The sequence below is a fragment of the Homo sapiens genome, chromosome 19 (assembly GCF_000001405.40).
Source record: "Homo sapiens chromosome 19, GRCh38.p14 Primary Assembly".
NCBI classification, from domain to species: Eukaryota; Metazoa; Chordata; class Mammalia; order Primates; family Hominidae; genus Homo; species Homo sapiens.
The window spans coordinates 20951025-20966472 of record NC_000019.10 but is presented as its reverse complement, the minus strand read 5'-3'; the positions used below and the strand labels follow the sequence as shown (position 1 = coordinate 20966472).

Here is a 15448-nt window from a genome sequence, read left to right as displayed (position 1 = left end):
AAAGACAAGAATTTAACATTGCAATAGAATCAGAAAGATATTCTAAAAGTACCTTCTAATCCATTATTATTATTATTATTATTTCACCAGAATGGTTGTGATAGAGTGGTTGCAGCAGTGTGGTCATAAATAACCCATACCGTGTACTTTGTCATTTTTGGTCTATGACCATAAGACTTTTATGCTTAAAAATAAATGTTTTCTTGCCAGGTGGAGTGGCTCACACCTGTAATTCCAGAACTTTGGGAGTCCAAGGCAGACAGATCACCTGAGGTCAGGAGTTTGAGACCAGCCTGGCCAACATGGCAAAACCCCATCCCTACTAAAAATACAAAAATTAACTGAGCATGGTGGCAGGTGCCTGTAATCCCAGCTACTCAGAGGGCTGAGGCAGAAGAATTGCTCGAACCTGGGAGGCAGAGGTTGCAGTGAGCTGAGTTCACGCCACTGGACTCAAGCCTGGGTGACAGAGCTAGACTCCACAAAAAAGAAAAAAAATTATTTTCCTAATTCAGGAATTTAACATGATTTTCACAGCCTCACATTTTCAAAAATGGTTTATTCTAAAAGAGAAATGTGATTAAACCATTTTTTCCCCAAAAAGAGTAGAGTGACAAATTATAATCTAGTGTACAGTTAATAAATACAATATAAAGATGTGGCCATTTATTTTAGCTGCATACTTGGGGATAAGACACTTTTTGGGCTATAAACCAAGGGTTTTCAGAGACGTTAGGTCATAAAACGTGGGGCGACCAGGTATAAAAACATTCACCTCTGTACCCAAAACGGACATAATTCTGTGTCTTTCACTCCTAATTTCAACTATTAACCCAGAACTGGAGAAATATAACATGCCATTATACCACAAAGCATTTTATTATTTTTATTTTAGATTCATGAGGGTACATGGGCAGATTTGTAACATAAGTATACTGCCTGATGTCGAAGTTTGGGCACTTAATAATTCCATTGTCCAAGTAGTGTACCTCATACCTGATAAGTAGTTTTTCAATGCTGGTCTTGGCAGTTTTTTTAAGAACTCCCAGCATTTATTGTTTCCATGTTCACCCAATGTTTAGCACCCAATTATAAGTGAGAACATGTAGTATCTGAAATACGTATATACCGTGCAATACTAAGAAACCACAGAAAAAGATGTTCTTTGCAGCAACATGGATGCAGCAGAAGGCCTTTATTCTTTTTTTTTTTTTTTTGACCTTTGAAGTTTTTATTGGCCTCTTGCTCCCCAAAGAGTACCCTGCTTCTGCTGGCTTAATGTCTCAATTTGGTGTCATTGGTCTCAGACAGCACTTTGCCATCCATTCTCTGGCGGGTGGTGGTCTTTTTGATGGTTTGCATGGAGTTGCTGCTGTCCAGGGCATCACCTAGATTGAAGTCCTTGCCATCTTCCAGCAGGCGGCGGTAGGTGGTGATCTCAGCCTCCTGCTTGACTTTGATGTTCAGCGGGGCCTTGTACTCCTGGGCCTGCTTGACTTTGATGTTGAGCAGGGCCTTGTACTCCTGGGCCTGGACCTGTGCCAACTCTGACTACAGGTGCAGCAGGATCCCATTGAGGTGCTCCATCTGCAGGGCATAGTGGGCTTCCACCTCCCTCAGGCTGTCCTCCAAGCTGGCAGAAGGCCTTTATTCTAAGCAAATTAACAAAGAACATGAATCTAAGATTCATGGGTACCTACTTTAATTCTGTCTTTTTTTATGGTGAATAGTGCTGCAGTAAACATGTGAGTGCCAGTGTCTTTTTGGTAAAATAATTTTTTCTTTGGGTATATACCCAGTAATTCGATTAATGGGCCAAATAGCTATTCTATTTTTAGCTATTTGAGAAATCTTCAAACTGTGTTCTACAGGGGCTGAATTAATTTGCATTTCCACCAACAGTGTATATAGATTCCCTTTTCTCCACAACCTCAACATGTTTTTATTTTTGTTGCATTAACTTCTAAGGTGTTAGTTATAATTTTTTTTCTAGAGCCCTGTGTCTAGAAGAGTACTTTCTGCATGTTCTTCTAGAGTTTTAATAGCTTGAAGTCTCACAGTTAAGTCTTTAAACTATATTGAGATATATTGTTTATATGGTGGGAGGAAGAGTTTTTTTTCTTCTTCTGCATATGACTAACGAGTTTTCCCAGTATCATTTATTAGATAGGGAGTTATTTTCTTTTTATTTCTGTTGACTTTGTCAAAAGTAGGTTGTAGGAGTGTAGCTTTATTTCAGGGCTCTCTCTTCTGTTCCACATGGTTTGGCTCTGTGTCCCCACCCAAATCTCACCTTGAATTGTAATAATCCCCACATGTCATTGGAGGGTCTGGGTGGGAGGTGATTAAATCATGGGGGTGGGTTTTTCCCATGCTGTTCTCTGGGTCGTGAATAAGTCTTTTAAGATCTGATGGTTTTATAAAAGGGAGTTCTTCTGCACATGCTTGCTCTTGCCTGCTGCCATGTCTTGCTTTCCCTTTGGCTTCCATCATGAATGTGAGGCCTCCCCAGTCATATGGAACTGTGAGTCAATTAAACCTTTCTTTTATAAATTACCCAGTCTCAGGTGTGTCTTTATTAGCAGCATAAAAATGTACCAATATAGTCTGTATGTATATTTTTGTACCACGACCATGTTATACCGATTACTGTAGCTTGTAGCACAGTTTGAAGTCAGGTAATTCGAGGCCTCCAGGTTTTATTTTGTTTGTTTGTTTAATGTTGCCTTGGCTATTTTGGCTTTTTTTATTCTTCCATATAAATTTTAGAATAGCTTTTTTCCCTATTTCTATAAAAATGGCACTGATAGTTTGATAGGAATAAAAATCTGCAGGTTGCTTTAAGTGGCATGGACATTTTAATTATATTAAATCTTCAAATTCATAAGCATGAAATGCTTCTCCATTTATTTGTGTTTTGTCTGATTTCTTTCAGCAGTGTGTTTTCTTTGTAGCGATATTTTACCTCCTTCGTTTAATGTATTCCTAAGTATGTTATTTTTTGTTTTTGGCTATTGTAAATAGAATTCTGTTCTTTTATTTTTTACCTCTGAACTTTTTATTGGCCTCCTGCTCCCCAAAGGGTACCCTGCTTCTGCTGGCTTAATGTCTGAGAACTTTGGTGTTGTTGGTCTCAGACACCATTTTGCCATCCACCATCTGGCGGGTTGTGGTCTTTTGGATGGTTTGCTTGGAGTTGCTGCTGTCCAGGACATCACCAAGATTGAAGTCCTCGCCATCTTCCAGCAGGCGGTGGTAGGTGGCGATCTCAGCCTCCTGCTTGACTTTGATGTTCAGCGGGGCCTTGTACTCCTGGGCCTGGTACTGCCCCTCTGCCAGGGTCTGTACCAGCTCTGACTCCAGGTGCAGCAGGATCCTGTTGATCTGCTCCATCTGCAGGGCTTAACATGCCTCCACCTCCCTCAGGCTGTTCTCCAAGCTGGCCTTCAGATTTCTCATTGAGTCCAGGTCGATCTTCAAGGACTGGACTGTACATCTAAGCTCTGTGAGCATCATCTCAGCAGCTACAACCTTGGTGGACTGCGTGGTGACCACTATATACTCTCCTCAATCTGCTGAGACTGGTACTTGTCCAGCTCCTCTCGGTTCTTCTGAGCTACCTCGTCGTATTGGGCCTGGATGTCTGCCATGATCTTGGCAAGGTCCTGAGCTTTGGGGGCAACTACCTCCCTGGTCAACCCAGAGCTGTCGACCTTGGCTTGTAGTCCTTTTACTTCCTCTTTGTGGTTCTTCTTCATAAAGAGCAGCTCCTCCCTGAGAACCTTGATCTCTGTCTCCAACCGCAGCCGAGTGACATTGGTGTCATCAATGACTTTGCAAAGCCATGGATGTTGCTCTCCACAGACTGGCACATGGCCAGCTCTGTCTCACACTTGGGTCTAAAGTCATCAGCAGCAAGATGGACTGAAGGGGGCCAGCCCCTCCACACCTGTGGGTATTTCTTGTCAGGTGGGATGAGAGACTGAGAAAAGAAATAAGACACAGAGACAAAGTACAGAGAAAGAACAGTGGGCCCAGGGGACCAGTGCTTAGCATACAGAGGACCCACACTGGCGCCAGCCTCTGAGTTCCCTCAGTATTTATTGATCATTATTTTTACTATCTTAGCGAGGAGAGTGTAACAGGGCAACAGGTGGGGAGAAGGTCAGCAGGGAAACATGTGAGCAAAGGAATCTGTATTATGAATAAGTTCAAGGAAAGGTACTGTGTCCAGATGTGCACGTAGGCTAGATTTATGTTTCTCTTTACCCAAACATCTCAGTATAGCAAACAGCAACAGAGCAGTACTGCTGCCAGCATATCTTGCCTCTAGCCACAGGGCGGTTGTCTCCTATCTCAGAAGAGAATGAATGGGAATGGCCAGCTTTACACTGAGACATTCTATTCCCAGGGATGAGCAGGAGACAGAAGACTTCTTCTAATCTCAACTGCAAAGAGGCCTTCCTCTTTCACTAATCCTCAGCACAGACCCTTTATGGGTGTCAGGCTGGGGGATGGTGAGGTCTTTCCTTTCCCATGAGGCCATATCTCAGGCTGTCTCAGTGGGGGGAAACCTTGGACAATACCCAGGCTTTCTTGGGCAGAGGTCCCTGCAGCTTTCCACAGTGCATTGTGTCCCTGGTTAATTTAGAATGGAAAATGGCAATGACTTTTACCAAGCATACTGCCTGCAAACATATTGTTAACAAGGCACATCCTGCACAGCCCTAAATCCATTAAACTTTGATTCATTACGCACGTTTCTGTGAGCACAGGGTTGGGGCTAAAGTTACAGGTTAACAGCATCTCAAAGCAGAAGCAATTTTTCTTAGTACAGATCAAAATGGAGTTTCTTCTATCTTGCTTTTCTACATAGACACAGTAACAATCTGATCTCTCTTTCTTTTCCCCACAACGGACACTGTCGATCTGCAGAACGATGTGGGCATTGTCCACAGTATTTGTGAAGATCTGAGCCCTCAGGTCCTTGATGGTCTTGAAGTAATGGCTTGTCTCTGACCTGAGGTCCCATCTTCTCCAGGTGCTCCCAGATTTTGCTCTCCACCTTCCGGTTCTTGGTCCTCAGGCTCCTCACTCTGTCCAGGTAGGAGGCCAGGCAGTAGTTCAGGGTCTGCATGGTCTTCTCGTTCTGGATGCCTCCCATTCCTGTCAGACCCCTGGCTATCCCCGCAGCCAGGCCCCTGAACCCCATGGGCCTTGAAGCTGGTGAAGCAGGACACGGAGATCCTGGAACCAGAACCCCCCATGCCTGCATAGATGATGGCTGTGCTGCTGACTGGCCAGGCACCTGGACAGAGCCCAGGGACTGGTAATTGGTGAAGGTTGAGCGAGTGGTGAAGCTTATGCTGTCCAGGGAGGAGAGCAAGAGGACAGGACTCAGGCTTTGCTGACGACCAGAACTGTGTTTTTTATTTTGTTCTCAGCTTGAATGTTATTCATGTACAGAAATGCTACTCATTTGTGTATGTTAATTTTGTATCCTGAGACTTTGCTTAAGTCATTTTTTAGGCTTAGGGGTCTTTTTGTGGCATCTCCAAAGTTTCCCAGGTAGAGAATTATATCATCTGTGAGAATAATTTGACTTTCTCTTTTCTTATTTAGATCTCTTTTATTTCTTTATCTTGTTTAATTGCTCTAGCTAGGACTTCCAGAACTATGTTGAATACGAGTGTTAAGAGTGGATATTCTTGTCTTATTTTTATTCATATGGAGAGTTCATCCAGCTTTTGCCTGTTCAGCATGATTTCAGCTGCAGATTTGTCACAGATGGCTTTACTATTTTGAGATGTTTCTTTAATACCTAGTTTGTTGAGAATATTTTTATAGGTATTGGATTTTTTGAATGCCTTTTCTGTATCTATTGTGATAATCATGTTAGCTTTTAATCATCTTTACCTGATGAATCACATTTATTGACTTATATATGATGAAACATCCTTGCATTCATGAAGTAAATCTCCCAGGATTGTGGTAAAATAACGTTTTGATTTGATTATGAACTCAGCTTGCTAGTATTTTATGGAGAACTTTTGTTTTAATGATCACCCAAAATATTGGCCTATAGTTTTTGTTGTTGTTGTGTCTTCACTAGATTTTGATATCAAGGTGATACTGGTTTTATATAGTTAGGAAGAAATCCCACCTTGATTTTTGGAGTACATTCAGAGGATTAGTACTGGTTCATCTTTGTATATGTGGTAGAATTTAGTTGTGAATTCATCTGATCTAGGGCTATTCATGGTTCGCGGGTTTTCTATTACCAATGTATATATTTCTATTACTAATGTATGATTTCTATTACTATTCTATAATATAATGTATAATTTCTATTGCTAAATTTATAATTTCATTATACATTTTATTAATTTTTGCTGTGTTCAAGATGTTTGCTTCTTTCTGGTTCAATCTTGAGAGGTTGTGTGTATCCAGTTTATCTATTTCCTGTAAATTTTTTACTTCGCATGCATGGAGATGTTCATAGTAGTCTCTGAGGATGTTTTGTATTTATGTGGAGTTAGCTGTGATTTCACAACTCAACATTTAAATAGATGCAGAACAAAAGTTTAACACATTCCCTAATGATAAATCTCTGAAAAAATTAAGTATAGGAAAAATGCACCTGAAGCCAATAAATGCCACATATAACAAAAAGTGCACAGGAAACAGCATACTAAACAGGGAAAAGTTGTAAGCTTTTACTCTGAAAGTTAGAACAAGACAAGGATGCCCACTTTCTTCAGTCTTGCTAAACATAGTACGAAATGTCCAAGACAGAGAAATTAGAGAATAAAATCAAAGGCATCCAGATTGGAAAAAAAAGTTGAATTATTACTATTTGTAGAAGACATAATCTTAAGTATAGGAAAGCCTAAGACTTTACTAAGAACTACTAGAAACTAATAAATTCATTAAATTTACAGAATAAAAAATCCACATGCAAAAGTCAGTGGCATTTTTGTAAACAATTAACTATCTCAAAATAAAATTAAAAAACAATCCTATCTACAATAACTGTAGTAACTACACTTTGAGATAAATGTAACCAAAAAGTTGAAACACCTTACATTATAATCTAAAGAATATTAAAGTAATAAATAATACACAAATGAAAATATTTATGAATTGGCATTAATATTGTTAAATACCTACATTATACAAAATGATATACAAATATAATGCAACTTCTATCAAAATACCAGTGACAAACATCATAGGAATTTAAAAATATCTATCTAAAATTTATATGGTGCTGCAGAAGACCCTGAGTAGCAAAAGCGATCAAACAAAACAAAAAAGGCTGAATGTATTACCCTACCTGGCTTTGAAATATGCTACAAAGCTATAGTAACCAAAACAGTATGGTACTGCAATAAAAAAAGACACATAGGCCAGTGGAGCAGAAGAGAGAAATGAGAAATGTATTCATTTACTTACAGCTGATTATATTAACAGGTGACAATCTTTTAGGGAAATGACAATGTCTTCAATAAATGATGTTGAGAAAACTGTATAGCCACATGCAGAGCAATAAAATGAGACCCTCATTTCACACCATATATAAAAATCAACTTAAAGTAAATTAGATATTTAAATGTAAGGCTTGAAACTATGAAACTACTACAAAAAATATACAGTGAAAGCCCCATAACATTGGTCTGGGCAGTGACTTTCTAAAATTTAATCTCAGAATCCCAGGGAACCAAAGAAAAATTAGAGGAGTCAGATTACTTCAAATTAAAAAGTTGCTGCACAGAATCTGATACAATCAACAGGATGAGAAAACTAAAAAATGGGAGAAAATATGTACAAATTATACATGTGACAAGGGTTTAATATCAAAATATATAAGAAACTCAATTATAGAATAAAAAATAATATTAAAAATGAATTAAAGACTTATTTTTCAAAAAAGACATATAGGCAAGAGATATAAAAAATAATCAGTATCAATTATTACCAGGAAAAGCAAAAAAAAAAGAGAAAAAACTATGATATCAACTCACTTGTTAGAATAACTCTTATTAAAAAGAAAAAAATTAGTAAAGGTGTGAAGACAAAGGAATGCTTGGGGGCCGGCTGTAGTGGCTCACGCCTGTAATGTCAGCACTTTGGGAGGCTGAGGTGGGTGGATCACGTGGTCAGGAGATCCAGACCATCCTGGCTAACATAGTGAAATTCCATCTCTACTAAAAATACAAAAAATTAGCCAGGCGTGGTGGCGGGTGCCTGTAGTCCCAGCTACTCGGGAGGCTGAGGCAGGAGAATGGCGTGAACCTGGGAGGCGGAACTTGCAGTGAGCCGAGATTGCCACTGCACTCCAGCCTGGGCAACAGAGCGAGACTCCGTCTTGAAAAAAAAAGAAAAAGAAAAAGGAAAAAGAATGTTTGCATATTGTTGGTTTGAGTGTAAATGAGAACAGCCTTTATAAAAATAAAATAGGCCGAGCACGGTGCCTCATGCCTGTAATCCCAGCACTTTGGGAGGCCGAGGCAAGTGGATCACCTGAGGTCTGGAGCTCGAGACCAGCCTGACCAACATGGAGAAACCCTGTCTCTACTAAAAATACAAAATTAGCCAAGCGTGGTAGTGCATGCCTGTAATCCCAGCTACTCGGGAGGCTAAGGGAGGAGAATTGATTGAACCTGGGAGGCAGAGGTTGCGGTAAGCCGAGATCATGCCATTGCACTCCAGCCTGGCAACAAGAGTGAAACTCCATCTCAAAACAAACAAACAAACAAAAATAAATAAATAAAAAATAGAGAAGTCTCAAAAAATTTAAAACTATCATATAATACAGCAATTGTAATATTGGATATATATCCAAAACAATCAGAATAAAAAAAATTTGCACTTCTATGTTGTTTGCAACACTCTTTACAATTGTCAAAATATAGAATCAACAGTTTAACATCAAATGAGTAAATAAAGACAATATAGTAGGCTGGGGACAGTGGCTCATGCCTGTAATCTCAGCACTTTGGGAGGCCGAGGCGGGTGGATCACTTGAGGTCAGGAGTTCAAGACCAGCTTGGCCAATATGGTGAAAACTCATCTCTACTAAAAATATAAAAGTTAGTTAGCGGGAGGTTGCAGTGAGCCGAGATTGCACCCCTGCTCTCCAGCCTGGGCTACAGAGAAACACTCTGACTCAAAAAGAAAAAAAAAAAAGTATGATATATTTAAACAATGGAATACTACTCACCTTCAAAAAAGAAAATTCTATTATTTTCAGTCAGATGGATTACATTACCTGAAATAAGCCAGGCACATCAAGATTATTATTATTTTTGCAACAGAGTCTTGCTCTGTTGCCCAGGCTGGAGTGCAGTGGTGCAATCTCAGCTTATTGCAACCTCTGCCTCCCAGGTTTAAGCGATTCTCCTGCCTCAGCTGGGACTACAGGCACCCGCCACCATGCCCAGCTACTTTTTGTATTTTTAGTAGATGGGGTTTCATCACAGTGGCCAGGCTGGTCTCAAACTCCTGACTTTGTGATCTGCCCGCCTCGGCCTCCCAAAGAGCTGGCATTAGAGATGTAAGCCACCGCACCCGGCCTAGAAAGATTATTTCATAATTTTACTTACACACGGATCCTCAAAAAACGTAATCTCATGGAAGTAGAAAGTAAAATGGTGACCACCAGATACCAAGGTATTTAGAAGGGGGGTTTGGAAAGACGTCAGTCAAAAAATACATAATTATACTTGAATAGGAGAAATAATTTCAAAAGATTTTTTCTACAGCATGGTGGCTATAGTTCCTAATAATGTATTTGTATTTTTGAAAAGTGCTAAGACTATGTCACGTGCTCTCACCACAAAAAATGTTAACTATGTGAGGTAAAGCATTAATTACCTAGAATTAAACATTTGACAATGTATACACACTTCAAAATTCATGTTTTACAGAATAAATATTTATTTATTACAGATAATAACTGCATAAAAGACACTAAAAGGGCAGTTGTTGCTTTGGTCTCATGACTGGCCACTCTTCGAACACAGTAAACAAGTTTGTGAGCAAACTAATAGGATATGTTTCAATCCAAAAGCTGTCATGATCTCCAAGTTTTACAGAGAAAATGATCAATAAGTTGGCTACAGTTATGTGACAAAGAATAGAAACTCTAGACTGAACTTCACCCACTAAAAAAATTATATAAGACTGAGAGATTTTTTCAAATTGTAATATCAATATAAAAAAGAAATATTATTCCAAATTTTAAATCCACAGAGGTCATTTTATTATTTTACAAACTTTAACATTCACACTTAAAAATAGAAGATTCTGCACGGAAACGTTAAGTTGTGCTATATCATAGAAAATTAAATTTAAAAAATTTCACTCACCATTAGCTTTCTTAAAAATTTAATTTCTGAGATATATTTTTTAGCAAATATTTGCCACACTTTGTGTAAGATTTTTTTTCTTTTACAAGCAGAAAAAAAGAAAACTAACTGACTTATTCCTCTCACCTGTGGATACTGAATGCCTTTTATCTTAATTAACTGATCTGAAAGTTGTATTGACAAACTCTCCAGTTAAAACTAATTTTTTAGTACATTAAAAAAATACCAACTTTCTCATCAAAACCTACAAAGTACCATGTAAAATGACATGGCATAAAGACAACAATGAGAAAACCATAGATATAATACTGAAAAAGAAGGAGAAGGGCTGTGATGCATACATAGCTGGAATACACATAATAAAACAAAAGATACTTAGAAAATAAAGGAAGAAGAATTTCTCTTCAAATTCAGCAAGAGTTAGTTTTGTAGCCTGGAAAAAGTGTCTTTTTAACATGAAAAATCAATATTATTTTTTCACCATTGATATTTTCCATCTCTGACTTGAAGTTACAAACTAACTTCAGCAGGAATATTTATAGCTTGTTATGCAGCATTTGTTACACAGCAAGCACTCTCATGTTTGTTTGCTATATTTATATATAAAAACATCCTCATGACTTATAAAGCATCCTTAGTATTTACCTGAAAAAAAAATTGGCTCAATAAATAAATATAGTTATTTCAATTATAAAAAGTGAAAAGAACAACAACTAAAGCAGGTTTAAAGAGTTCTCCAATTAAAAGAACAAATGAAATGTTCTAAGAAAATAAAATATAACTTGATAGACTAATTTTGGAATTACATATAAATATTATTTTGTGTGCACTACTAAATTTTATAAAAGCATTATAATCCCTGACAAGCTCACATAATGCCTCAGAAACTATAAAAAAAATTATAAAAAAAAGAAAATTATAGGTCCAGCATGAGTATCAGGCAAGTCAAAACAAAATATTTGCATGGGAAGATTCTGAACTATAAACCATAAGATATTACAGTAATAAATTTAACACAAAGCAGACAGTATACATTTGTTTTCAGCATTTTTGAGGTATTCAGTTTTCTAGTAAACTAGTTACCTTATTATTTTTTTGAGATGAGTCTTACTCTTTCACCCAGGCTGGAGTGCAGTGGCATAATCTCAGTTCACTGCAACCTCCAAATCCTGGGTTCAAGCAATTCTCTTGTCTCAGTCTCCTGAGTAACTGGGACTAGAGGTGCACACCACCACACCCAGGTAATTTTTGTATTTTTAGTAGAGATGGGGTTTCACCATATTGGTCAGGCTGGTCTCGAACTCCTGACCTCAGGTGATCCACCCGCCTCAGCCTCCCAAAGTGATGCGATTACAGGCGTGAGCCACTGCACACAGCCAATTAGTTACCTTATTAAGATGATTTGTTTTGTGCCAATATTGCTCTTTTCTTCTGAATATAGGTACAAATTCATATTCACAAAAACACACATACTTTATAATTTTCTTACCCTTAAGGTTTATCTTTAGAGTAATATATGTGTATATTTACATCTATGTAAATAAAAATTAAGAGTCTGTATGTGTTTGCAGGCAGTAAGACCACATGTTTAAAGAAAAATATTAACAAATTTTTAAATGTTTATTCAGAATTCAGAAATGTATGGATTTTATTAATACTTCTATACAATTCTTATTATGACCATAAAACAAAATCATGACCAAAATCTTGCCACTTGCCAAAGTGGCCAGATGGAAATAGACATTCCATGCAAATTGGTTACTGTAACCAATAACAATTGCACATTTCAAAAGAACTAAATGTGTAGAATAGGTTTGTAATACAAAGGGTAATGCTGGAGGTGATGGATACTTCACTTACCCTGATGTGATTGTTACATATTATATGCCTGTATCAAAATATTCTATATATGGTATAAATATATACACATACTATGTACTCACAAAAATTTTTAAAAATAAGTTCATATAAGAAAAAAAGAATAAAAATTTAACCTACAAGAACAATATTCTTTAACCTATTTGCAGTTTAAAGCCACTGGCAAAAGAGATGTTAGTTCATTATGTTACCAACCTGCACACTGTAACCATCTTTTAACTACATTCTTGAGTACGGTAGATAGGTTAAACTTAGTGGCATCACAACGCATCGTTGAATGCACAATGATCATAATATGTTTAAAAAAGTTTAATTATAAAACTAAGTTTACATGTAGTCTGAAAATTTAAAAACGTACTGCATTTTATTACATAGAAATATAATTAGTAAAATAATATATTACTAATTTTAACTAATATTAAAAATGTTTTTCATTTACTATAATGCAGAAGAATATTACTCTAAACAACCACCTCATATATCACTCAATATTATGTTAACCACAAAGAGCCCCACCACTTAGATTTTCATCATGCATCTTACGTTTTAATGTTCTTATTCTTTTTTTTTTTTTTGGTGGTACAATGGTTATTTTTTTCTTTTTTTTTATTATACTTTAAGTTTTAGGGTACATGTGCACATTGTGCAGGTTAGTTACATATGTATACATGTGCCATGCTGGTGCGCTCCTTTTTTGTTTTTGAGATGGAGTCTCGCCCTGTCACCCAGGCTGGAGCATACGTAATAGTGTACTTCTCCTTCTCCCTCTCCCTCTCCCTCTCCCCACGGTCTCCCTCTCCCTCTCTTTCCACGGTCTCCCTCTGATGCCGAGCCGAAGCTGGACTGTACTGCTGCCATCTCGGCTCACTGCAACCTCCTTGCCTGATTCTCCTGCCTCAGCCTGCCGAGTGCCTGCGACTGAAGGCGTGCGCTGCCACGCCTGACTGGTTTTCGTATTTTTTTGGTGGAGACGGGGTTTCGCTGTGTTGGCTGGGCTGGTCTCCAGCTCCTAACCGCGAGTGATCCGCCAGCCTCGGCCTCCCAAGGTGCCAGGATTGCAGACGGAGTCTCGTTCACTCAGTGCTCAATGTTGCCCAGGCTGGAGTGCAGTGGCGTGATCTCGGCTCGCTACAACCTCCACCTCCCAGCCGCCTGCCTTGGCCTCCCAAAGTGCCGAGATTGCAGCCTCTGCCTGGCTGCCACCCCGTCTGGGAAGTGAGGCGCGGCTCTGCCTGGCCGCCCATCGTCTGGGATGTAAGGAGCCCCTCTGCTCAGCTGCCCAGTCTGGGAAGTGAGGAGCGCCTCTTCCCAGCCGCCATCCCGTCTAGGAAGTGAGGAGCGTCTCTGCCCGGCCGCCCATCGTCGGAGATGCAGGGAGTGCCTCTGCCCGGCCGCGGCCCCGTCTGGGAGGTGAGGAGCGTCTCTGCCCGGCCGCCCCGTCTGAGAAGTGAGGAGCCCCTCCGCCCGGCAGCCACCCCGTCTGGGAAGTGAGGAGTGTCTCCGCCCGGCAGCCGCCCCGTCCGGGAGGGAGGTGGGGGGCCCGCCTCCGCCTGGCCGCCGCCCCGTCCAGGAAGTTGGGTGGGGGGGCGCCTCTGCCCAGCCGCCCCTTCTGGGAAGTGAGGAGCCCCTCTGCCCGGCCGCCACCCTGTCTGGGAGGTGTACGCAACAGCTCATTGAGAACGGGCCATGATGACGATGGCGGTTTTGTCGAATAGAAAAGGGGGAAAGGTGGGGAAAAGATAGAGAAATCAGATTGTTGCTGTGTCTATGTAGAAAGAAGTAGACATGGGAGACTTCATTTTGTTCTGTACTAAGAAAAATTCTTCTGCCTTGGGATGCTGTTGATCTATGACCTTACCCCCAACCCTGTGCTCTCTGAAACATGTGCTGTGTCCACTCAGGGTTAAATGGATTAAGGGCGGTGCAAGATGTGCTTTGTTAAACAGATGCTTGAAGGCAGCATGCTCGTTAAGAGTCATCACCACTCCCTAATCTCAAGTACCCAGGGACACAAACACTGCGGAAGGCCGCAGGGTCCTCTGCCTAGGAAAACCAGAGACCTTTGTTCACTTGTTTATCTGCTGACCTTCCCTCCACTATTGTCCTATGACCCTGCCAAATCCCCCTCTGCGAGAAACACCCAAGAATGATCAATAAAAAAATAAAAAATAAAATAAATAAAGAAAAAAAAAGAATAGTATACTTTTTTTTTTTTGAGATAGAGTCCTGCTCTGTTGCCCAGGCTAGTGTGGAGTGGTGCGACCTCGGCTCACTGCAACCTCTGCCTTTTGGGTTCAAGTGATTCTCCTGCCTCAGCTTCCCGAGTAGCTGGGGTTACAGGTGCGTGCCACAGTGGACAGCTAATTTTTGTAGTTTTTAATAGATGGGGTTTCACCATATTGGCCAGGCTGGTCTCAAACTCCTGACCTCATGATCTGCCTGTCTCAGCTTCCCAAAGTGCTGGGATTATACGTATGAGCCCTGCGCCCAGCCTAATGTTCTTATTCTTTAATAGAAAAGGTCATAAATAATGACCTAAGAAAAAAAAATCTCCTATCTTTGATGTAGCAACCACTGATCACATGCTTTCACATGTGAATATAATAGCAATGAAGAAGAAAGAGCATGAAGTAATTTGAAAGTTGAATGACATGATTATTTTCTTTTCAAAAAAACCTAACTTTTTTAAGGAAAAAAGTATACTTTGAATGTAATTAAAACTCTGCAAAAAAAGTTCTACTTCTTTTAAAGTTATATACAAATAATTAATCCACCAAATTTAGTTTTGGATTATTTTCTATACTCAGCACTCTGATTTAGTGTGGTGTCTGAAGTGCCAGCACCTTAGATATTTCTACTGTGAATCCTCTGATATTTACATAAACTTAACTTTGGATTAAATATATTTTTATATCTACTGCATCTGCAAAAATATATTTTAGTATGAATCCTCTGCTGCTTTTTAAGCTGTAGTTTTTGAAAAAGTTTTTCAAAATTTGTTACATTTGCAGGGTTTTTCTCAAATATAAATCCTCTGATGTTGGCCAGGTGTGGTGGCTCATGCCTCTAATCCCAGCACTTTGGCAGGCTGAGGCAGGTGGATCACCTGAGGTCAGGAGTTTGAGACCAGCCTGAACAACATGGAGAAACCCTGTCTCTTCCAAAAATACAAAATTATCCAGGCGTGGTGGCACATGCCT

The 15448-nt window shown here is 39.5% G+C and overlaps 1 pseudogene; it reads right to left on the bottom strand.

Annotated features, from left to right (window-relative positions):
• KRT18P40 (keratin 18 pseudogene 40) lies at nucleotides 3048–5415 on the bottom strand (annotated as a pseudogene).